We start from the raw sequence: 24,585 nt of genomic DNA, 5'->3' as shown, positions 1-24,585 counted from the left end.
AATCAGCCATATAAGAGAATTAAATCCTGTCGTTTATAACACCATGGATGGAACTGGAATCTGGGAAGTGAAAGTGAAATAAGCCAGACACAGAAAGACAAATATTGCATGTTCTCACTCATATGTGGGAGCTTAAAAAAAAAAAAAATTGAACTCACAGAGATAAGAGAGTAGAAGGATGGTTACCAGAGTTGGGAACGGCAGTGAGGAAGGGGAAATAAACAGAGGATGGTTAACGGATACAAAAATACAGCTAGATAGAAGGAATATGATCTAGTATTTGGTAACGATAGGGTGACTATAGTTAACAATGATTTATTGTATATTTCAAAGTAACAAAAAGAGTGGAATTGGAATGTTGCTAATACAAAGAAATGATAAATGCTTGAGGTGACGAATATCCCAATTACCCTGATTTGATCATTACACATTGTATGCTTGTGTCAAAATTTCACATGTGCCCATAATTATTTACAACTATCATATGTCCATAATAATTAAAAATTACTTTTTTTAAAAGAAAAATTAGATGTAGTTTCCTATGATTCATGTAGATATTAAAAAAACTGATAAACCAATAGTAGTGCTAGCTAGGTCTGAGAAAAAGGCACTTACATATATAGCAACTCTAGGAGAAAATGTATTTTAAAAATTTTAGGAGAGAAAAATACTCCTTGTGTATCATTTACACTTGCAGAAATAGGACTTAAGAATGTAAACATGCAAACATGTTTAGCTACTGAACAGCTTAGTTGGGTTTCCTTTGAAGTAACAAAAACGGCAAATATTGACATCACTTACAGTTTATCCGTATGCTAAATACTATTCCTTCATTAGGATGGTGATTACTGAATAATTATTATCATAGAAATGCATTAATGATATTAAAAGTTAATGATTATTAAACCTGAAAAGCAGATTAAAACAGCTATGCTAGAAAAAGTGTGTTAAAACACATTCATGGGACAATTGAGTAAGTTTCAACACCGACTCGATACTGGATTATATTAAGAAATTATTGTTACTTTTTAGGTGGAATTATAATATGGTAGTGATTTTATTTAAAATGCTATGCTGAGGGCTGCTGATTAAACAGGTGTATGGGCCACCTGTGTAAGAGGTTAAATAGTATAGAAGTAGTCTGATCCTTTAACTTTTGGTAAAACTCCCCTTCAAAATCATCTGAGTCCAGTAATTTTCTGAAGAGGTTTTTTTCAATTATTATTGAACAACATTCATTAGTAGTTAATATACTTACATTTTGTTTCACTCCCAGAATGACTTTTGGTAATTTATTATTTTTTTTAAGGCCAGACAACCAAGATCAGCACCTAAAGTATTACTTCTGCTTCAGGGCTCTCTTCACCTTGCCTTGTTGATAAATAGCTTCCTACAAATATGGCATGCATGCATGTGCATAGGTGTATGTGGGTTTATGCGTGTGTGTTTTATTTTGTTTCCACCGACCACTTATCTATTGGGCTAAGCAGAAAGAAGAGGCACTAGTTATTCTCTACACATCACTTCTGATACTGAAAAAGATGAATAGACGATTATTTTCTTCAGATTGTAACTCTGATTTTGGAAAACTTTCTGCATATAGTAACCCTTGTTCTCTTCCTTTTTCTGATGAACTTCGCCACATTTGGAAGCCGTGTGTGTGTGTGTGTGTATGTGTGTATTTTGAACTACAAATTTTTTTTAGCATCTTCAAAAATGAAGTAGGCATTTAAATTTCTCTTTTTGTTGTTTTGAAATGATATCTAAAGGAAGAATGAAGTAAAATATGTTTACTGTTGTAAAACTGAAAGTCTGGAGTTTTTTAAAAAAACATGTCTTCCTTGCTAATTTCTCCATGAGCTCAACGGTAATATCTGTTTTGTTCAAGCCTGTATCCTAGGCATATGACTCACCATAGGGGTTGAATAAATACTTGTTGATTGAATGCAAGGATGAGTTAATAAAACATAATCTAATTTTGAGGAAGAAGTAATGTAGAATGGATTGAGGAGGCTATGCACACATAGGTTGATTCTGGTGAGCTCTGGATGGGATAGTCTGTTTTTCCCATTAGTTTCTGCTTTAGGCTACAATAAACATGTTTCCTTTGTAATAAGAGGAAAATACTTTAATGAAACATAACTTGAAAAGACATTTTAACAAATGTTCATTTTAAAATACAAGGACCGTTTGTACTAGATCTGCTCAGACAGTCTATATTCCAGTACCCTGTTGCTTCAAGTGAGTAAGCTTGCACTTGCTGAATCAAGCCTGCTAGTTTGGACTCACAAAATGATGTTTATGATCATTTCAGAGGAAGGGTAGCACCCTCTCAGACCTCCCGTGCAGTATTACCCGTCTCATGTCTGTTTCATAAGGGTGAATCAAATGTCATCTCATAGTTGGAGAAAATGTTTGGGACAAAGCCACCTGAAGAAAATAGCCAGTGCCTTAATTATTTTCTTCTTTTCAAAGATGATTTGTTGGTTTCAGAGAATTTCAGGGAGGGCCATCGCTGTGCTCAGCTTCAATACTTTGCTTAAATATCATTTTCAAAACATGAGAGCACGAACGTCCTTGGTATGCCAACATCCTTCCTCACTTCCCTCTCTCCAGATAGTCCGGCCTTTTTCTGTTTTGTAAATGCATCATGTTCATCCCAACCATTGTTTCTGTGCCTACCATTGCTTAAATGTGGTTCTTGCTGGGTTATCTTTTTTCTAAGGTCTCAGCTCAAGGGATAGCTTCTTGGAGAGGCTCTCCTTTGCCTCTCAGACTCATGTGGACAGTTGGCCATGCTCTGTCACATGGTTCTATTTAAATTTCTCCTTTCTGTCAGACAGTCTCTTGCCTTTTTAGCTTATGAATTTACTTTTCTTCACCCATTAGAAATGTAGACTTTCAAAGGTTCCTTGTCTGCCTGGTTTCCTGTGTTATTCCCAACTTATCTAAAAACTTTTTTTTTTTTTTGACAGAATCTTGCTCTGTTGTCTGGGCTTAAGTGCTGTGGTGCTATCTCAGCTGAACCACAACCTCCTCCTTCCAGGTTCAAGCAATTATTGTGCCTCAGCCTTCCAAGTAGCTGGGACTACAGGCAAGAGCCACCACGCCCAGCTAATTTTTGTATTTTTATTAGAGACAGGGTTTTGTCATTTTGGCTAGGCTGGTCTCAAACTCCTGACCTCAGGTGAATCTCCTGCCCCTGCCTCCCCAGTTGCTGGGATTGCAGGTGTGAGCCACTGCGCCTGGCAAGAACTCATATTTTAACATGCTTAAAGCTCCATATGTATTTATGCATAAAAGAGAAGGAAGAAAGAAAGGAAAAGAAAATAGAGAGGCAGGGAGGGAGGGAGGAGGAGTGGAGAAATGACAGAAGGAGGAGATAAATTCAACATATCATCTCTTACCTTCAAACCTTAATTCCAAAATGAATCAAAATACCCTGAAAAATACAGAGCCATTTTCCAACATCTTCTCTCTTTAGAACACAGTTGAAACTCTAAATAACAATTTTCTTCTTATATACATATTGTCAATTAACATAAATATGTAGTATTAAACTAAATGTGAATATGATGACTCACACTTAGCATTTCTTTGTTCACACATCACTGATACGAAACTCCATTAGAAGATCAAAGAAGAAACGCACAGAGCTACTAAGATCTTGACGTTTGTTGAATCCTTGGCTTGTGAAAGTTACAAATTTTTTCCTTTGAACTTGAAACATGAGAGAAAGGGAAAGTACTACCAATATTTTTAGTCTTTAAGAATCACATGGATAGACGTACAGCAATGTGAATATACTTAACACTACTGAACTGTACACTTAAAAATGGCTAAGATAGCAAAAAAAAAAAAAAAAAAAGAGGAGCTAGCTATTCTCATACCTCCTTATCCCTGCCTCACCAGAGTAATTCCTGAAGAATTTGTCAAGATAGAGACTCCATTAGCTTAGGGCTCTTCCCAACTGGGAAGAGCAATGCATTAGTCTGTTTTCATGCTGCTGATAAAGACATACCTGAGACTGGGTAATTTATAAAGAAAAAAAGGTTTAATAAACTTACAGTTCCACATGCGTGGGAAGGCCTCACAATCATGGCAGAAGGCAAAAGGCACATCTTACATGGTGGCAGGCAAGAAAGAATGAGGACCAAGAGAAAGGGGAAACCCCTTATAAAATCATCAGCTCTCGTGAGACTTATTCACTATCACGAGAACAGTATGGGGGAAACTGTGATTCAATTATCTCCTGAGTCCGTCCCACAACATGTGGAAATTATGGGAGCTACAATTCAAGATGAAATTTGGGTGGGGACATGGCCAAACCATATCAAGCAGAGTCCCGGGTGACCCTAATGGACGTTTGACATGGGCAAGAAATAATCTTTGTTATTTGAAGCCACAAAGATTGCTTTATTGTTTCTACAGCAAAGCCTAACCCATCCTTACCAACATAAGGCTGTCACTTGGAGGTGAGGGAGTGGGGACAAAAAGGGAGAGAAAGTAATCAGACAAACTTGAGCATGTTTGTAGGATTAAAGGAAAATGCCAGGAAAAGAGAGGAACTGGGGAGGTAAGGAAGAGTGTAGTTAGTTAGTTGTTCTTGGCCCTGGGAGAAGCCAAGGGCTGTGTTACCCCTGTACACACTGGCATGACACAGGCCAGACACACTGGGTATGTGGCCTGCATGCCTAATAATGAGACATTATGACAGCCATCGTCATTTCTGCCCTGTGGAATCAGTTCTGGGGAAAACTAAATAGCTGGCAGTCAAATATTGGTCTTAGATGATTTAGCATAGGCCTTCCTCAGCAAGTAGAGGGTTGGAAGAAACATCTTAGCCCCTCAGTTTCCTCATGTATAAAATGGTGATAAGAATAGAATTTACCTTATAAAGTTGTTGCAGAAATTAAATGAGTTACCATATGTAAAGCACTGAGAACAGTGCCTGGCATAGAATGAGTTCTACTTAAGTGTGATCTCACAACCCCTTCAGGTTTTAGGAAGGAGCTTTAAATATGGTGATGGAGTCTGCCAATGCCTTCTTTATGCAATCATTTAAACAACAAGGAAGAGTTGCAAGGAACTGCAAAGTCCTGCTGTACGGGGAAGCAAACAGGCAGGATGAGCAATGGATATATTTAAAATCTCTAGCAGCTTCGAAGCTAGTGTTCTTCAATACAAATCAACCTCAATTTATTTTTTAAAAAAGAACTTTGTGGATAAATTATCATGAATCTGATATTAGCTAAGTTTAAATAAATGAGAAGTTATTGTACCTGCTTGCTGACACTGTAAAGAAAGCAGGAAAGAAATAAAAGGAAAAGGGGAAAAGAAAGAGAGAGAGAAAGTGAAAGAGAAACAAGGATAAGAGAAGAAGATAGGTGAGAGGCAGGGAGCTAGAAAAAATATCCTGGAAAAAGCAAGGTTTATTGACTAGTTGACAAAACAGACTAAAAAATCAATAGTGTTTTCTCTGACACTTTAGATAACTTCCCAATAATGCTGGGCAGCTTGCTAAAGGAGAGGGGTCCCTATGGCTGACAGCTTTGCTCCAGAACAAGTTGAGTTTTCTTTTTTCTACGTCTCCCCAGGTGGGAAGCAGTGCAGCCTGTCACTTTCCAAAAGGATGAAAGTGAACCTTCGTCACCATAAAGGGGACTTTGGAGCTGGGAGCAGGAGGTGGTGGAGCTACGGGTACTTTTTTTTTTTTTTCTTTTCTGTTTCTGGGGTCTCTGACAGTGACTGGTCCTGTCTTCCCAGCAGCAGGAACCTGATAACACAGTAATACTTTTGAAGATCATTGCCAAAACCAGTCCCAAAGAGAAAGAATTATCTGACAGCAGTTTCTCAAACTTCACTGTTGCTCGGATAACTTTTGGTGAAGAAGAGGAATGAAGACCTTTGGTGTTGACTCATTAGTTTTCTAACATCTTCAGTGAAAGATGTATGACCAATGAGGTAGACATAAACCCTCATGCTTGTAGCTCTTATGCAACTATAAAAATCAAAATGATTTTACAAATTGAATGCACACAAGCTCTGATATACCAACAAAATCCAAATTAACTGCCTTAATTTAAAGTGAAAGATTTAAAAAAATAAATGGACACTATTGTGTTCACTAGTAGAAAACTAGTCTCAGGTATAGGCTTACACTTAATCCCTTTTAGTGTTTTGTCTCAGGGATGGTAATATAGAAATGTCCACTCCCCAATAATTATATTGCATTGAGTGGCATTAATGTGTCAGTTTTTACTTGCTATTTTAGAATAATCAGGTCATAAGGCCCCCATACATAACCAAAATTCTTCTATTGAGTGAGGTCAGCTTATGTGGGGGCCACTTGATTTTCTATGAAGCTAACTTGTTCACTGAAAGATGAGGTTAGCCTTGTCACTTTTTAGAGTCTGAATTAAATGGACATATAATCCTAGTTTGACTGGATCAGAAAAAAAAAAACTTACTCTAAACATACTGCTCATGAACCATTACAAAGTTAACACATGCAAACAAAGATGATATCCATGAAACACATCCACTCACAAGAGATTGTGATCTTAAAAATTCTGGTGCAAGACATTTGCAGGTTGGCCTTCCTATACTATTTTTTTGCTTTGAGCACACATACTTCTTTCTATTCACCACAAAACCTTCATCTCTACAATATACGGTAATGCAATTTTGGGCCAAACTCAAGTAGAAACACACACACAAAAGAACAGGCTCAGGAATTGTGTGGCAGTATTTGGTAATAAGGTGAATCCCAAAATGTTTTAATTTTATTTGGTTATCACCTAGATAGAAATAAAACATTTGTTGGAGAATCCTGAGATCTCAACAATGTATCTGCAGACCCTAGAGGCATGGTGAACTTCAGTTTGAGAACAAATAATAAAAAAGACAGCCCTTCTCATGAGCCCAAGCTTCAGACTCCAGTATGACCTGATCTTGGTAATGGTTCATCTCATGGGAGGCACCAGCTGACCTAGAGGGAAGGAAGAAAATGCAGGGGGAGCTCCTGATCTCCCAGGTTCCTCCCTTCAGGTCAGCAAGGCTGGATGCAATTACTTGGCCATAAATCTTAGCAGGCATCCCCTTCCTTTCCACTATTACTAGTCCCCTACCTCAGGGATACTGCACTACGCGTTGTAATTTTCCCTAACCCTACGTTGACTTTTTAAACTAGCCCCTTTTATAAACTCACCTCAAATCATTCAATCTGAGTATGCATCCCTCCCCTACCAGGACTTTGATTAATAGAGGTGCTTACCTGGGCAACAAGACTAGAAGCACCTGCAGCCTCCAATATAATAAGGTAATGGAATGCGGACATGTGTGCATGCCTGCACACACACACACACACACACACACTATACATATGTTTATTGGGGGAGTGGATGAGAAGAGAACTCACCTTTGCAATTAACTTGTGTTTTGCTGCTCACTGAACCAGAGGCTGGGTGTGCATTTTTGTTTGGAAGCTTCTTCATCACATTTTTATTTAATTTCATTTTACTTTTTTAAAAAATATGGAGATGAGGTCTCACTATGTTGCCCTGGCTGCTCTCAAACTCCTGGGCTCAAGTAATCCTCACTCCTCAGCCTCCCAAACTGCTGGGATTACAGGCGTGAGCCACCACGCCCAGCATCTTCATCACATTTGGAGGGAAAATGTATTCTTCCCATTTCACAGATAAAGAAACGAAGGCTTAGAGAACGGAAGCATCTTGCCCAATGCAACAAAACAGGCATTTTCTTCACTGTGCCACTCAGTCAGTCAAGCTGCTATGAAAGTTTAAAGAGGACCCAGTGCCCTACTTTAACCTGATTTCAATTTTAGACCAATGCACAAGGGGAGAAGACTAGAGCCCTAGGGACCCTCCTGTCTTCAGTGAATTGCATCAACCAATTAGATGTTTCAGAATGTATGTGCAAGGCTACAGGATTCTAAAAAGTAAGATACAAATTATATAATTTGGTGAAGTTTCAAATGGTGTGGTTGTTGACTGCTATATGGATGACCCAAAGATAGAAATGAACATGGCGAATCTTTGCTGAGGAAGAGAGAGTGGATACTCACAAAGATTTATCTATAGAAGAGAAGCAAGTAAGCAAATAATTTAAAAATAGAGAGTTCTTTAAATGAACTATAGTACAGCCACTTAAGGGGCATAGATGACCTACCTCCTGAGTATTTTTTTTCATTCATTTGTGATCTACAGAACACAAAATAGCCTGTAAGAATGATTTTCTTTTTCTTCTTACTATACTGAGCTGGTATTTGGTCCCATGGGGATAAACGCTTAGAAAAATTCCTAAAATAAGGACTCTTATCTACCAGCAATGCTCATACACAAAACAGACACATTCTCTATTCCAAACTCTAGCTTATAGAAAAAACATGTGCTTTGAGTTAGCAAAATTAATTTCCATCATAAAAAAAAAGGAAGTAACCAACAACCAGAGCTAAGTAGACAAGCTAGTGTAGTAAAAGTGCTTTTCAATGGGGAATTCTAGTATAGTAAAAGCGCTTTGCAATGGCAAATTCATGCAATACATTAATAAGTCTTACCTGAAAGTCCATTGACTTCTAAGTACTGCCAAACCTCACTCATTTAAATATCATGTAAATGGCAACCTTGATAGGGAAATAATTGGAAGATAAGTGGTGGAAGAAAAAAGTGTTTGAGAAGTCAAAATAAAATACATAATTCTATGCATTGAAATCCAGCAATTTTTTTTCCAGAAGATCTTGATGACCCCCTATGCAATGTTCTCAACCTAATTTCAACAACTGATATGGGTGCCAGTCTCCAAAGACGGTTCCCCAATGAGGCACACCTCCTGGTATTTCATCCTTGGGTTGTCTTCTTCCATATTTTGACCAACAGAATGGGATGAAAGTGATGCAGTGTAGTCCACATGAAGGCTTATTCCTACCAGCTGGATCTTTTGAAATGCATGCTATTGAATTACTCTTTCTCAGAACCCAGCCGTGAGAAGCTCAAGACACAAGAAATCCATGCATAGGTGCCTTCATCATAACCCCAGCTAAGCCTGCTGCTGACAGCCAGCGTCACTGTTAGCCGTGTGATGAGCAGCCCTGGATGTCTAGTCCAGCTGAGCCTTCTGGTAACTCCAGCCCCAGCTGCCATCTGATTGGAACCATGGGAGGCAGTTTAAGGGAATGCCTTCTAACCTAGACAACATACAGAACCATGAGCTACATTAAAAAACTGTTTCAAACCAATGCATTTGAATTTTGTTATGCAGTAATAGATACCTGAAAAACTTGGCTACCAAATTTCCAGCTCTGCAAGAGCAATTAGGAAGACTAATTGAGGTAAGACCTGAAAGCAGTAGGAACTGGAAGTTAAATTTGAGGGAAGGAACAGAGACCATTAAAATCAAAAGAAGAAATCAAAACACAGCAGTTGGAGACCATTTAGCAGGAAGAGAGGGGAGAAAACTGCCAAACCCAGCACTAGGCTCCTCACAGTAAACATTACTAAATTACATCACTTAAGAATCATGTATTCATGACAGCTTGAAGTTAGAAGAAAGATTACATTCTCATCAGCACATTATTGGAGAACCCAAGGAGGTAAGGAATAGTTATTTTAAAAAAGGTTTTGATTGTCAAAAATTAAACTGTGACATTGTCCCAGAGTTTAAGGAAGCAAGATTTGATTTTCTATAAATTTATTAATGAAGACCACTTCAATTCCCCAACAGTCTTACGTTTGCAACATATTCTTGCCTCATAACTCTTTCTGATGTCTGGATTTCCCAGTGCTGTTAGAGCCATGGAAACACATTCATTGATTCATTGATTCATTCAGGGAAGATGCACTGATATTTGCTCACCCTGAATTCCTTTTCTAGATGTCATCCACAGAAAGATGAATAAGACATGGTTCATGTCTCTGACACCATACCTTCCACTGGGGGAGGGATAAAGGAGAGACCACGACTAACATTTACTGAGCTCCAACTACTTCTGCCAGGCACTAGACTAGTTGCTTTGACATCCTTTAGTTAATCCTAGTAATGCCATCTACTGGACTGTACTCATCGTATTTTCAGATGGCAAAGCAGAGTTTCCGACTGGTATACAACTTCTGTGTGGACTCAAAATGTAAGTGAACTGGCTTGCAGTCCTTATCAGTAGCATCTCCCCAACCTCCAAAAACCTTATATACACTTTATGGGAAACTGTAAGGTAGAATGCCATCAGCAACTGATTTTATGGGTTTTGATCATTTGTAAGCTCTTTAATAATTTGAGTTCACAGCAGAGTCAGAAAAAAGCCTCCCCAGCATCATTTCTTCCATATTCGAACCGGTTCTCTTTTTCTCTTTCATGCTACTCTTTAATTTGATGACTCCTGAGGTTTCCCCAGAGTGTTTGTCATTTTTACAACAGCCATTTTTCTTTGACTTGAGAAAAAAAAATATTAAATCAATGTTTGCATTTGTGCACATTTCTTAAAGTGCTCCCAAATACGTTGATTCCCAATGAACTTAAGATTTTAATTCATTTTATCCCATTGCTGCTGCAGAAGGAGTCACATTTTTAAATGTGTGATGACATATGGCTGTTCATTATTTATACATTCTGTAGCAGACTATAAATTTTCCTTTGGACATATATCGAGGCACTGAAACCATTTTGGTTGCAAACACATAAATCATGGTTACAGATATTAGTCTAAATGTAACACCACCCAGGTTCTAGATCAAAACCTTTAAAATCCATTGTAATTGATGTCTGCTGTATAACTTATGTCTGATTTTATTAAAGGTTCTCATTATTATTTATATATTTGGAGATTATACTCCCAGCTGTGCTACTATATCCAGAGTAAATTATTTTGAGGTGTAGGATTGAGAGAGGATATAGAAGTGTGTCAGGGTGCCAGAGTGGGGAGGGGAAGGCTCTTTGTGAAATGTTAAAAAAAAAAAAGTGGAAGAAGGAATGGGTGTTGTATTTCAACGCGGTCTAATTCATGTAATGATTTCGTTAATTTACCTCCCAAACGCCTTGTCCTCTGTACCAATTGACATTCATTTGAGACAAATAAAACAGCCGTGGAGTTGTGTCAGCTAAATTATAAATTAGCGAAAGGGTAACCGAGTGAGCCGGATTCCCAGGGCTGCCACTGGACTAGGCTTTTCAAAGACCAGAAACGCTTAGATTGATCCATACATCACAGCGCCGAGATGCCTCAGTGAAATGGGGACCGAGGATTGATGGCACTTCACAGGCTCATTAGGAAGCCTCAGGTTGGTGAGCCACTCGCCCAGCGTGACTGCAGAGTGCTGGCAGGCTGACACAAGGGGACGGGCCATGTCAAAGCAGCATGGAGAGTGAAGAGCAAAGGCAGCTCGCCACGGAGAAGAGAGCACCGCACCAGGAGGCAGGAGGCCAGTGAAGAAGGAAGTGAGGAGACTGAATGGCAGGGACCTGAGCTTCAGAGCCTCATAAACCAGGGTCCCCATCTCTGCTGGGCCGTTACCAGACTTGTGGCCCCTACAAGAACTTCTCTAGCCAGTCAGAGCCTCATCTGTAGCAAGGATACAATTATAAGGATTTGCTATAAAGTTTTTTTTTTCTTAATGCACTTTATTTTTAGAGCAATTTAAGTTTATAAAAAATGGAGCAGAAAGTACAAGTTCCCCTATATTCCTCTCCCCCCAACACTGTTTTTCCTAACATCCTGTGTTTGTGTGGTGTATTTGATATAATTGATGAAACAATATCGATATCTTATTATTAATAAAGTCCTCAGTTTGCATTAGGGTTTACTTTTGTGTTGTACAGTTATACGGATTTTTACAAATCTATATTATCATGGATTGGCCATTACCATATTATACAGAATAGGTGCACTGTCCTAAAAATCCCCTATGCTCCATCTATTCATCCTTTCCTACTTCCAGAGCCCCGGCAACCACTGATCTTTTTACTGTCTCTGTAGTTTGCCTTTGTTATAAACTTTTGAGATAATACAGGCGAAGAGACTGAGTGTTTGGTAAACGGCTGAACAACGTAGCATCAGTGCATTATAGTTACATATGAATTTCAAATGCCACGTATTTAAAATGCAAATTTCAGGTAGTTGACCAACAACCTGAGAAGTTCTAAGAGGAGGAATGGCTGTATTATAAGATATCCAATTGTGATTCCCCTAGATGCAAGCAAACAAAAGATCTAGAAAGTCCAGCCGGCTCTCCTCCTGAGTGTTTGGCTACTGGGGAGGTACATCCAGGCTCCTGTCATTCTCTAAGGCCCTCCTTGAAGCATTCCATAGGGGAGAAATCAGAAGGTCCCATTGCAAACCCCAATCCTGGAACAGGATAAGTCTCTGCAGCAGGGATGGAGAGGAATCTTCCTTGCCTCACCACTAAGGCAAGAACTGACTTCCCCACCCTGTTGCATCTGGTGGTCCTGGCATGGCTGCTATGCTCATACTCTTTAGGCTTTCTGCTTCTGTGAAAGGTGTGGGAACACAGAGAGTATGTTCAGCAGTGGTGTGAGAAGAGATTGGGCAGGATACTCATTTATCTGCTTTCAATGGTGGGTATAGGCAATAATTTTGTGTTCCTGTCATATCGGTTAGGCCTGTCTTTGGGGATCCAATGCATCTATTGTTATGAACAGTTCCCAAACATACCAACAGCAGTCCTCCCCAAGCACCTAACTTTGTCTCAAGGTTCATTTCTGTGCCACCAGAGTTTGCTCAGGCCTCAATCTGCGTAGCCAGGAATTGAGGAAGAATTGATGTCCCTGGATAATATCTTCTGCCAATGAGCGGTGGATGTTGACAGCTAATGTCTGGGCCTCCTGTCTTTAGAAGAGACAGTTCTGAGGCAAATCCTACAGTTTTTTGGAGAGTCTCCAGCAAGACTGAGCCCCAGCTTCTACAGTGGTACCCATGTGGAGGAAAAAAACATCCTTTTCCTCTTTTCTTCCCTCTAGTTCTCACTTTTGCTGCTTTTTCATTCTTGCCTCCAGGGACATTGTCTAAAAACCAACCTGCTCCAAATCTTATCTCAGGCTCTGCTTTCAAAAGAACTCAAACCAGGTCAGTGGCATTGCATACAGGCAACTGGCAGAAGGTAAGATGATGTGGATGCAGAAAATCTCATTCAGTTAATGAATGAGAATGCAATTTCCAATGACAGTTACAGCCGTAGTTAACATTGCCAGGTTGTTTACTGAATGTTAGATAATTGTGCATGGATTATGTTATTTAATCCTCATACCACCATATGAGGTAGGAATTATTCTGATAACCGTGTTACAGAGGAGAAAATTGAGCTTTAGAGATGTTAAGTGATTTGCTCGACTTCAAACACCTAATTAATAGTGTGGTCAGGAGACAAACTGAAGTCCTCTAACTCAAGGATTCCCTTTTAACCCTAACTCTGTGCTTTCTGTTCAGCACAGGGCTTTAGGTGTGCATATGTATAACATAGAAGTTAATAAAAGACATTTTTTATATTGGTAAAATCATGATTCACATACAAATAGAAAATGAATATCTGCCAAAGATTTTTATTTTTTTGTCAGTTCATAAGGGAGCCAGTAAGATGTTACAATTAGTTCAAAGGAAAGCTTAAAAATCCCATATTTTTATAGGCAATCAAGGATATTGAAATGAATTTGAAATACACCCAAATATCGCAGTGAAACCGGTCAATATCCAAAGGGTATAAATCAATTGCATTTCACAGGACACAATTCATTTGCTTTTCTTTGGATAAGGATCATCTGCATTCATCTCAGTTTTCTACCACTTATAGAATTATAAAAGAGGTTAAAGAGGGGAAAGGCACACATAACCCAGGAGGGTACACGACACAGTATACCCAGTAATCTTCTTTGTTCAAATCAGAGTCTTCCACAATTTTTCTTGACAAAATATATGGTTGAATGAATCCAGGACTTTTGCAATAACAATGGTAATGAAATATGACAGTGGTTGGCAAGCTTTTTTCCTAAATGGTCAAATAGTAAATATTTTGGGCACAGTGGGGGACACAGTCTGCCCTGCCACTATTCAGCTCTGCCCTTGAAGCACTAAAGTGGCCATAGACAATCTATAAGCCAACAGGCATGGCTGGGTTCCAATATAACTCTATTTACAAAAACAGGTGGCTAGCCTGCAGGCTGTTGTCTGCCACCCCTGGAATGGAAGATCATGAGATATAAGGAAACATTTGCCAAGAATTTTTCCCAGGCAGGACACTTTGAATTAATTCATTTCATAGTTGCTGACTGGCTGCTGAATGGTCCATGTGTGAAATAATTTATAAAACCAAAATCCAGTTATAAACTATGCCAGTAAGTTTCTTTACTATTTTAAAAAATGTATTGGTTAGCTAATTAATTAATTGACAAATAATAATTTATATTATTATATTATAATTCTTAGCATATACTATATGTACTATATTATTATAACTATTACTATAATTATATGTAATTATATTATAATTACATTATTTGTGAGGTATCATGTGATGTTTTGACATAGAAAGATTAAATCAAGCTACGTAACGTATCCATGACGTCACCTCCCTATGGGTTTTTTTGTGTGTGCTGAGAATGTTTAAAATCTGTTTTTAAAACAATTTTGAAATATACGATGCAGTATTTTAAACTATGCTGTGCACTAGATCACTAAAACTCATTCCTCCTGTCTAAGTGAAACTTTGTACACTTTGACCAACATTTCCTCTTTCCCCATCCCTCCTCGCACCACCCCTGGTAACCACCATACTACTCTATTTCGATGAGATGGGTTTTTTTCAATTCCACATATAAATCAGATCATGAAGCATTTGTCTTTCTATACCTAGCTTCTTTTACTAAGCACACTGTCCTTCAGGTTCATCTATGTTGTCATAAATGAGAGAATTTTCTTCTTTGTAAAGGGTGTATACTATTCCATTGTGTATGTACCACATTTTCTTATCCATTAATCCACTGATGGACACAGTTTGCTTCCATACATTGGCTATTGTGAATAATGCTGCAATGAACATGAGAGTGCAGATATCCCTTCAACAGAATAATTTTATTTCCTTTGGATATATAATCAGAAGTGGGATTGCTGGATCACAGGATAGTTCTATTTTTAGTTTTCTGAGGACCCTCCATACTGTTTTTCATAGTGGCTGTACCAATTTACATTCCCACTAACCATGTATCAGTGTTCATTGAGTTTCTTTACTATCGAAAAACCACAAGAAGCTTAGATCTCGTCCCATCCATGTATAGATGAAGGATCTGAGACCTAAGATGGGGGAAGATACTTGTTAAGGATTACAGAGAACATGTCACTGGTTACCTTAGAAACCAAATAATGTGCTACAAATTAGTATTATAAATTATATAGATGGTTCTAATTCATATATATGTTATCTCTCTATATAAATATATAGAGATACATGTAATTTATATAACTGTATATATATATGAAAATTACAATCATCTATAATTTCATTCGAGAAGACCCATTAGAATTTTGCAGCAACTTAATCCTTTTTTTATTTTTATTTTTTATTTTTGGAGACAGGGTCTTGCTCTGTCACCCAGGCTGAAGTGCAGTGGTACGATCTCAGCTCACTGCAACCTCTGCTTCCTGGGTTCAAGCAATTCTTGTGCCTCAGCCTCCCGAGTAGCTGGGATTACAGGCATGTGCCACCCCGCCTGGCTAATCTTTTGTATTTTTAGTACAGACGGAGTTTCACCATGTTATCCAGGCTGGTCTCGAACTTCTGAGCTCAGGCAATCTGTCTGCCTCAGCCTCCCAAAGTGCCAGGATTACAGGCGTGAGGCACTGTGCCTGGCTAGCAACTTAATCCTTTGCCAGGAACACGTGACACGTACACACACATCAATTTATCAGTTCGGTGCCATGAACATCTGTTGACCAATGCTAGACACTGCACCAGAGGGGACACCACAGAGATATTCAGGACAGACCCGCCCTTAGGGAGCCCAGTCTCCAGTGGGAAGGGGAGACTCCCAAATGTACAGTAAAGCACAGCGTCTTCAGTGTCAGACACAGGTAAACTGGAGTACTACAGGAACATGGAGAAGAGGAATTTTAAAAGAGGCCAAAACGGATATTAAGGGTGTTTTTCTGGAGGAAGTAGCATACCAGTTGATATTAAAAACCTGAATAAGGAAATGGATGTGAAAATACATGACAGTCTCCCTTTGATTAAACACGCGTTCTTCTAAAACAAGTTTTACCACAAAACAAATATCACGGTGTCCTTAACTGTTGATTAACGTTGCTGGAGATGACACTGAAGAATGTATCTTTAAGAACAAAATTTATAAACAAGCCAGGCATGGTAGCTCATGCCTGTAATCGCAGCTCTTTGGGAGGCCGAGGCGAGCGGATCACTTGAGGTCAGGAGTTCAAGACCAGCCTGAACAACATGGCAAAACCCCGTCTCTACTAAAAACACAAAAATTAGCCAGGTGTGGTGGTGGACGCCTGTGAATCCAGCTACTCAGGAGGCTGAGGCAGGAGAATTGCCTGAAACAGTGAGGTGGAAGTTGCAGTGAGCTGAGATGGCACCACTGCACTCAAGCCTGGGTGACAGAGTAAGACTCAGTCGCAAAAATATATGTATAAAAACAGGAGTCATTGGTGGTCATTTAGGGCATGCATTTGGCGTTTCAGTACCCCCTGCATTGCTCCAAAGTATCACCAGAAAGTTGGGATTCATCCTCTGGGCTTCTAGAAAGACAGAAGCGTGGAGGAATCTGAGTGCCCCAGATTGGGAGACCAGGATGCTTTGACAAAAAGTCCCTATCTGGCCTTTGGTGAGAGAGGGAAACCTCCTTATTGCCCACATTCAGCAGATACTCTCGGCACACCCAGAAATCACTCTTTGCTGCAGGGACAATAGGCCTCAGCCATGTGTGCAAAAGCTTATTAAGTGAACCTGGTGTTCTGACTGAGGATAACAAGACCATGAGTCAAATGGCATTCAGGACTTCAAATTATAAACCAAAATATTTTTTCTCGTGACACAGTGGCTCCTTGTAGACAATTACTTCTCCTGTACTAACCTCATCTGCTAAGGTTTTGCTCGTGTTTTTTCTTGTTCTCCTTTTAGTAGAATTCTACATCTTCAAGGACCAGTTCATGTGATTTCCACTGCTGAAATCTTTCAGCCCCCTTCCTGTAAGCATCAAAGGATCTCTGGGGCCATAGAGCAGTTTATTTTATTTACTTTATTATCTTTTGAGACAGCGTCTCACTCTGTTGCCCAGGCTGGAGTGCAGTGGCACAATCTTGGCTCACTGCAACCTCTGCCTCCTGGATTCAAGTGATTCTTGTGCCTGAACCTCCTGAGTAGCTGCGATTACAGGGGCGCACCACCACAACCAGCTAAATTTTGTATTTTTAGTAGAGACGGGGTTTCACCATGTTGGCCAGGCTGGTCTCGAACTCTTGACCTCAAGTGATCTGGCTGCCTTGGCCTCACAGAGCAGTTTAAACTGTGGGCATCCACTTTTATTCTCAGTCTCACCTTCTTTGTCCCTCACGCCATTATACACTCATCATGGCACAACTCAACTTTCCATTAGGACCACCTGTCCTTGCCTGCCTCTGGTTTTTTGCTGACCTGTCTTTTACAGCCCAACTCATTGAATACTTGAGTGAATCATGTTTTGGCTAACTTGGTGGAGGATCTCACTCCTTTCCTGAAAATAATACCTATGAAGACTTGCATAACAACATAGACACACACTACTTGAAAGAAGTAAGATTTTGTATCACAAGTGCAGGGAAGGCTCTGCAGCTGTGTGGGATAAACATGTTGAGGAAAATTTTTAAAAAGGGAAGAATGTACCTTTGTAGCACATGTGGTTCTCGGGAAATTGAGCCTTTGGGTTGCTCACTGCTCTTTATTTTTCCCAAAATTAATTTATATTATGATATGATATCAATTTTATAATCAAAGAACTAAAGTTGTTTCATCATTTTTTTTTCCTGGCTTCACTATCAACCTTGTGCATGATATTTATATTTATTTACTTCTACATTTTTAGAAAGTTAAAAATGTTGTGGATACATAGTAGGTTTATTAGTCAATTTTCATACTGCTGTGAAGAAATACTCGAGACTGGGTACTTTATAAAGAAAAAGAGATTTAATGGACTCACAGTCCCACATGGCTGGGGAGGCCTCACAATCGTGGTAGAAGGTGAAGGAGGAGCAAAGTCATGTCTTACACGGCAGCCGCCAAGAGGGCCTGTGCAGGGGAACTGCCCTTTATAAAACCATCAGATCTTGTGAGACTTACTATCACCAGAACAGCATGGGAAAGACTTGCCCCCATGATTTAGTTACCTCCCATCAGGTTTCTCCCACAACACGTGGGGATTAAGGGAGCTGCAGTTCAAGGGGAGATTTGGGTGGGGACACAGCCAAACCATATCAGTAGGTATATACATTTATGGGGTACATGAGATGTTTTGATAAAGGGATGCAATGTAAACATTGCATGTTCTGACTTATTTGTGGGATCTAAAAATCACAACAGTTGAACTTATGAACATAGAGTAGGCGGATGGCTACCAGAGGCTGGGAAGGATATCGTGTCTTATTCAAATCCATGCTCAAACACAATTTCTTCTAGAGCAAACCTATTGGAACAATTCTGATTCTCTGGAACTTCTGTGTTGCCCTTTATACCTACTTTTCTAATTCCTTGATTTTGTAATTATTTATTGGGTGCTTACTATTTTCTAGTGAATGGAACAAAATAGTTAACAAACTAAACCCTTCTCTCCCAAATCCCTGCCCTCAAGGAATTTCCATTCTGATGGGAGAGATAGCCAAATACAATACAAAAGTAAAATACAAAGTTTGACCTTTACTTATAAGTACTTGTGTGTATATCTGCCTCTCCCTCTACATCACTAATTTACATAAGGGCAAGAACAGGCTTATTTAATTTTCTCCCAGGGCACCTGGAACAGTGATTAATATACATCAAATGCTCAATCTATTTTTGCTGCATTAGAAAGAAGCCTCAAAAATTTTATCTGCATACCTCTGCTTCAAGATACTACTCTGATTGGAAAAAACTGAAACAGAAATTACAACAGCAGTCATCATTTTGGCTACAAGTGCTCCTAGCAGGAGAGTTGACTGACCCTGTCCTATTTACCTATTTGAATCATGGTGGGTACTAGGCTTGGAAACATGAAAGGAAATTCAGGCCAGGTGTGGTGGCTCACGCCTGTAATCCCAGCACTTTGGGAGGTTGAGGTGGGTGGATCACCTGAGGTCAGAAGTTCGAGACCAGCCTGGCCAACATGGTGAAACCCCGTCTCTACTAAAAATACAAAAATTAGCTGGGCGTGGTGGTGCGTGCCTGTAATCCCAGCTACTTGGAAAGCTGAGGCGGGAGAGTCACCTGAACCCGGGAGGTGGAGGTGGCAGTGAGCCGAGATTGCGCCACTGCACTCCAGCCTGGGTAACAGACCAAGACTCCATCTCTCAAAAAAAAAAAGAAAGAAAGAAAGAAAGGAAATTCAGTGCTCCTTTCCCCAGTTCTCAGCTTCCAAACACACCCAGGGCAAAAGGAAAACGCAAAGCCCCTGTTTCCATATGTTTTTATTTTTTTCATTACTTTACACCCTGCTAATCTCTTTGCAAACTCCACGGATACAAAACAAACCTCTTTGGCCTTTATGTCACAGAGCTGAGGATTCATTACCAAGCACCATAAGGGAGACAATTGCAGTTTTGGAGCCAGAGGGAAAACGTGTCCACATAGAGGCAGGACTGGAATAAGTTCTTCTTTGCCTTCTCAAGAATACCCATAAAAGCATACCTGCGATCATAATGCCCAATTGGATTCTCTCCCTGGGTGCAAGTGCCCCTCCATTTGTGGAGTAGGGGTCAATCACTATCCTGCTTGCTTTCTCATTTATTCGTCATTTGTTTTACTCTCCTCGTGTTTTGCAATGTGGGCTGATCTGTCAGCCAGAGAGTGTTATACCACACAGGCTTTTTCCTCCTTTCCTGCTGGAACTACATTTATTTGCTGAGGTTATCATGGTGCACTATACATACCTTGAGAAAAGGAGATAGCAATTTTGCAAGAACAATTTTAAATCAGGAAAAAAATAATTTTATTCTCCAAGGTAAACTCCTTTGTAAAAATACAGTATCTTGTATAATTGGGGGCACAGTGATCACTTCATCTTTATCTCAGAAGCCCATCTGACAAGGGTGATTTTTGTATGGAGAAAGTGAGGATTTCCTTTTAAAAATTGCCTTTAAAAAGGTGAGCTTTTGGAAAATCACCTTCCCATTGAGGAATGTGAGCTTGCATTCATTTGAGACTGTGGTTTTACTGCTTCAGAAAGCCATTTTTGTAAGAAAGAAAGGGGATGAAGAAAGAGACAATTAAAAAAAGGAGAAGAAAAGGAGAAAGGAAAGGAGAAAAGAAAATGGAGGAGGAGAAGGATGTACAGAGGGAAGAAAGGAGGGAGGGAAGGAAATCTTGGAGAAGCAAGTATCTTTAATTCTATAACATCACTTTTTCTACAGAAATAATAGTGACCAAACCATTTGCTTTTGCAGTTCGTAATCAAGAAAACAGAAGTTTTTCCTATGCCATTAGTTCTAAGTGTGAATTAATAACTTTAAAAGAAGTCTCTAGTTATTGCCATAATTTTTACTAAACCCCCAGAAATTTCCCATCTGAAAATTATTAAGGATTAAATTTATTTGTATTTGAAAATCAAAATTTACCAATGTTGCAGCTATGTGGTGGAGTCGACAGTCGTAGTATCAACCAAGACTGGGCTGCCAACTCCTGAAAAGTTGAAGATGATTGAGGAGTCCAAAATCTAGCTCTAACAAGGGAAACTCCCTAATATAATAATAGACAAAATGTCAATATGTGTATAGGCATCGCTGTAGATATATAGGTATTTGAATTTATGGAAATACAGCAAAAAGCAGCACTACCATTGAAAATGTAGATATCAGGCTCAAGGTGGATCCTGATTTCAAGAAAAAGAAATCACAAGCAAATAAACGTGCATCTCATGTATCAATTCATTGAGCATATATTACTTAAGCATTTCCTATTTGAAAGGCATTGTCGGAGCTACCAGGGATACAGTGATGAACAAAGTACTCACTGAGATTGCCGTCCAGAGCAAGAGCAACAAAAGTGAAAATCAATTAAACACACATGTCAAAAGATAATTTCAGAGGTTGACATTAAGAGAACAAGAAAGTGAAGTAATGTGATGAAGAGGGTGGACAATTTTGAATATCGCCCCACAGCAATGCCTCTCAGAGAAAGTGACTTCTGAGCCCTGGTCTGAAGAATGGGAAGATAAAATCTGCAGATGCATCACAGGGAGAGAACTGCAGACCAAGAGCAGTCAGGAAAAGGCTCTGAGGCTGATATATTGCATTCAATAAACAAAACGAGGTTACTATGGCTCAAGGAAGTGAACAAAGAGAAGGAGATTAGAAGATGTAGGGAATGAGGCCCAGGGACACAGGATGGAGCTTCTTCAAAGCTGTGAAAACCTAGAAAAGAAGTTGGAATTGTATTCCAAGTATCCAGACATAGACTCATAAACATTGAGGTGACAGATGTACACTTGGCCTAGGACAAAAGAATTACAGGTGACCAGAAGACAGGAGAAACACCTTCTCTTTCCTCCCTCTATGATTTTATTTTGTTGAATTTTTTTGTTTGTTTTCCTGAGACAGAGTCTCACTGTGTTGCCCAGGCTGGAGTGCAGTGGCGTGATCTCAGCTCACTGCAACCTCCACCTGCCAGGTTCAAGCAATCCTTCTGCCTCAGCGTCCTGAGTAGCTGGGATTACAGGTGGATGCCACCATGCCCGGCTAATTTTTATATTTTCAATAGAGACAGGGTTTCATCATGTTGCTCGGGGGGGTCTTGAACTTCTGACCTCAGGTGATCCACCCGCCTCTGCCTCCCAAAGTGCTGAGATTACAGGTGTGAGCCACTGTGCCTGGCCCCTCTCTGTATGATTTTAGAAAGTCACAGTCCCTTTCAGGTTTCAAGTACTCATATTTGCCAAGTGAAAAAGTCGAAGATGGTCATGAGATGCATTTCACATGGATGCTTCACTCTTGCTTCCCTGAGATAATGCAACCAGCACGTCCTCAGCTTGGACCTAGGCTCCAGACACCTAAGTTTTGCTTTATTTAACTAACTATGAAACCAGCATAGCCTGACCTATTCACTGGAGAGCAGAGGACTTTGGGCTTGCCATGAAATATGAGCAGAAGCTGCTTAAACTCAAATCCTAACCCACAGAGTTGGCCCCCTGAGCATGAACCTTGCCCTAAGGTCAATAGCACAGGTTCTGTAAGGCAAAGTCAGAGAGTTATCTGTGTAACCTATTAGCTTGCTGTTTGCTATAGAATACTCCACCTGCTCATCTGACAACTTTCCTCTGAGGGGGCACAGGAAAATCACCACCATAGGATACATCCTTCTCATCGCGCTATGGCTTAGGCAGAATTTCCTAATGACTCCTTCACAAGCCAACCCTCAGTCACATCAGAATTTGCTGTCACTGAGGTTGGGATGAAAGGGAAGGGATGGAGTCATTTCCTTTGGATCCCTGACACTGCAGTCAAACAGCATAATTGAAAGTGTTCTCCTTTCTTGAACAGTGAGTCAGCTAGCTTTCAAAAAACGAAAAGGGCTTCTGGTTCTCAATCTTTTCTGTAGATAGATTTGAAACACAAATACAGCGGGGGCAGTTCTCACTGTTGCTCATGATAGGCATTTCCTGGAGTCCTGTGGTCAGGACTGAATTTCTGCACAGAAGCATCATTTTAGATGAAGCCTAGAATGTCAAAAAGGACACATTTGCCAGATATATGTGAGAATCTGATATTCTTTGAGAAAGTGGCAGTGAGAGGTAAAGCAGAAAGAGGACCAAAATATGAGGCCTCAGACCAGCATCCTCTCCTTGACTGTGCCATCCCATCATCCTGTGATTTTGCATTTAATATGCCTGAACTTCAATGTCCTTATCTATTAAATGGTTCCACTATTGACTTTCTTCAGCCACACAGGGAATGTTTCAAGGGCCAGAAGAGACAATGTGTGTGCAAATATTTTCTGAATAGTAAAATATCCATTAAAAAATGAACACTACGGACATCAAGCTTCATTGTGGTTCAAGTCCACACAAAACACAGTCACATTTACAAAGTCATGAGATTATGAAGCATTTCTAAGTGAGGATGTGTTATGAAAGTCAAGGCTCTACTATTGATTACAACAATAAGCAGCCAGGTTTGAGTGTTTAATTTTCTTACTAGAGAACTCTTTGGTTAGGTTGAGGAATCACTCAAAGGTGATGCAAACAGTTGAAGAATGAAGATTTCACATTTACAGTCAAGTTGAAATTGGGGAAATTAGCTTTTGAAGAGCTGAGGAAATGTAAACAACACTTCTGATATGGTTTGGCTCTATGTCTCCACCCAAATCCCACCTAGAATTGTAATCCCTGTAAGTCCCACCTGGGACCAGGTGGAGGTAAGTGGATCATGGGGGTGGTTTCCTCCATGCTGTTCTTGTGATAGTGAGGGAATCTCACATGATCTGATGGGTTTCGAAGCGTCTGGCATTTCCCCTTCTTGCACTCACTCTGTCCTGCTGCCCTGTGAAGAAGGTGCCTGCTTCTCCTTTGCCTTTTGCCAAGATTGTAAGTTTAAGTTTCCTGAGGCTTCCCCAGCCATGTGGAACTGTGAGTCAATTAAACCTCTTTCCTTTATAAATTACCCAGTCCCAGGTATTTCTTCATAGTAGTGTGAGAACAGACAACTTCCACATGTCATCTTCAGTGGCTCCTGTATGTACCATTTGCTATGGAACCCCAGTCATAGGCATCATCTTCTCTTGAAAGGTCTGTTTTGTCTTCTACAAATGTCTTTGGAGCAGGGATCTTGTTTCGTGATTTTACAAGTACCTAAGGATAGTAAACGGGGCTGAGAAAAAGTAAGGAACACGGGAAGGAAACACTTGGGGTAAAAGGTGGATAATCCAACATGTCTGCAGATTTTCCACAGTATAAGTAAAGCCACACAGTGCAGGGAAGGTGGAACAATTGTGTGTGTGAGGGGCGGGAGGGCGAGGCGGGGAATAAAATACTGCAATCAGAGTGCAGTTAAGAAGTCACTTCATTTTGCAGTTTCTCATTTCTTTACCCCCAAACATGAAAGATTGTGAGGCAAACGTCTTTGTATTAGGGTTCTCTAGAGGAACAGGATTAATAGGATAGTTGTATATCTGAAAGAGACTGTATTAACGAGTATTGACTCACACAATCACCAGGCAAAGTCCCACACAGGCTGTCTGCAAACTGAGGAGCAAGGAAGCCAGTCCAAGTCCCAAAATCTCAAAAGTAGGGGAGCCGACAGTGCAGCCTTCAGTCTGTGGCGGAAGGCCTGAGAGCTCCTGGCAAACCACTGGTGCAACACCCCAAGAGTCCAAAAGCTGGAGAACTTGGAGTCCG

At 39.9% G+C, this 24,585-nt stretch overlaps 1 long non-coding RNA gene across 1 annotated transcript in view, besides 1 other annotated feature; it reads left to right on the top strand.

Annotated features, from left to right (window-relative positions):
- LOC105371069 (uncharacterized) overlaps positions 1-24,585 on the top strand; it is a 236,274-nt gene that overhangs the window by 121,835 nt on the left and 89,854 nt on the right. The window contains exon 3 of the long non-coding RNA NR_197430.1: positions 13,024-13,093. This is a non-coding gene — a long non-coding RNA (uncharacterized LOC105371069). The remainder of the gene's footprint in view (positions 1-13,023; positions 13,094-24,585) is intronic.
- Positions 22,648-22,848: a silencer, noted in NCBI's record as "peak2490 fragment used in MPRA reporter construct". NCBI's record gives its function as "represses an SCP1 promoter by STARR-seq MPRAs in K562 erythroleukemia cells {active_cell/tissue: K562}" and the evidence as "EXISTENCE:reporter gene assay evidence [ECO:0000049][PMID:32103011]".

The sequence above is a fragment of the Homo sapiens genome, chromosome 16 (assembly GCF_000001405.40).
Source record: "Homo sapiens chromosome 16, GRCh38.p14 Primary Assembly".
Taxonomy (NCBI): domain Eukaryota; kingdom Metazoa; phylum Chordata; class Mammalia; order Primates; family Hominidae; genus Homo; species Homo sapiens.
Note: the sequence above shows the minus strand (reverse complement) of the source record. Positions and strands in the feature narration are given on the sequence as shown.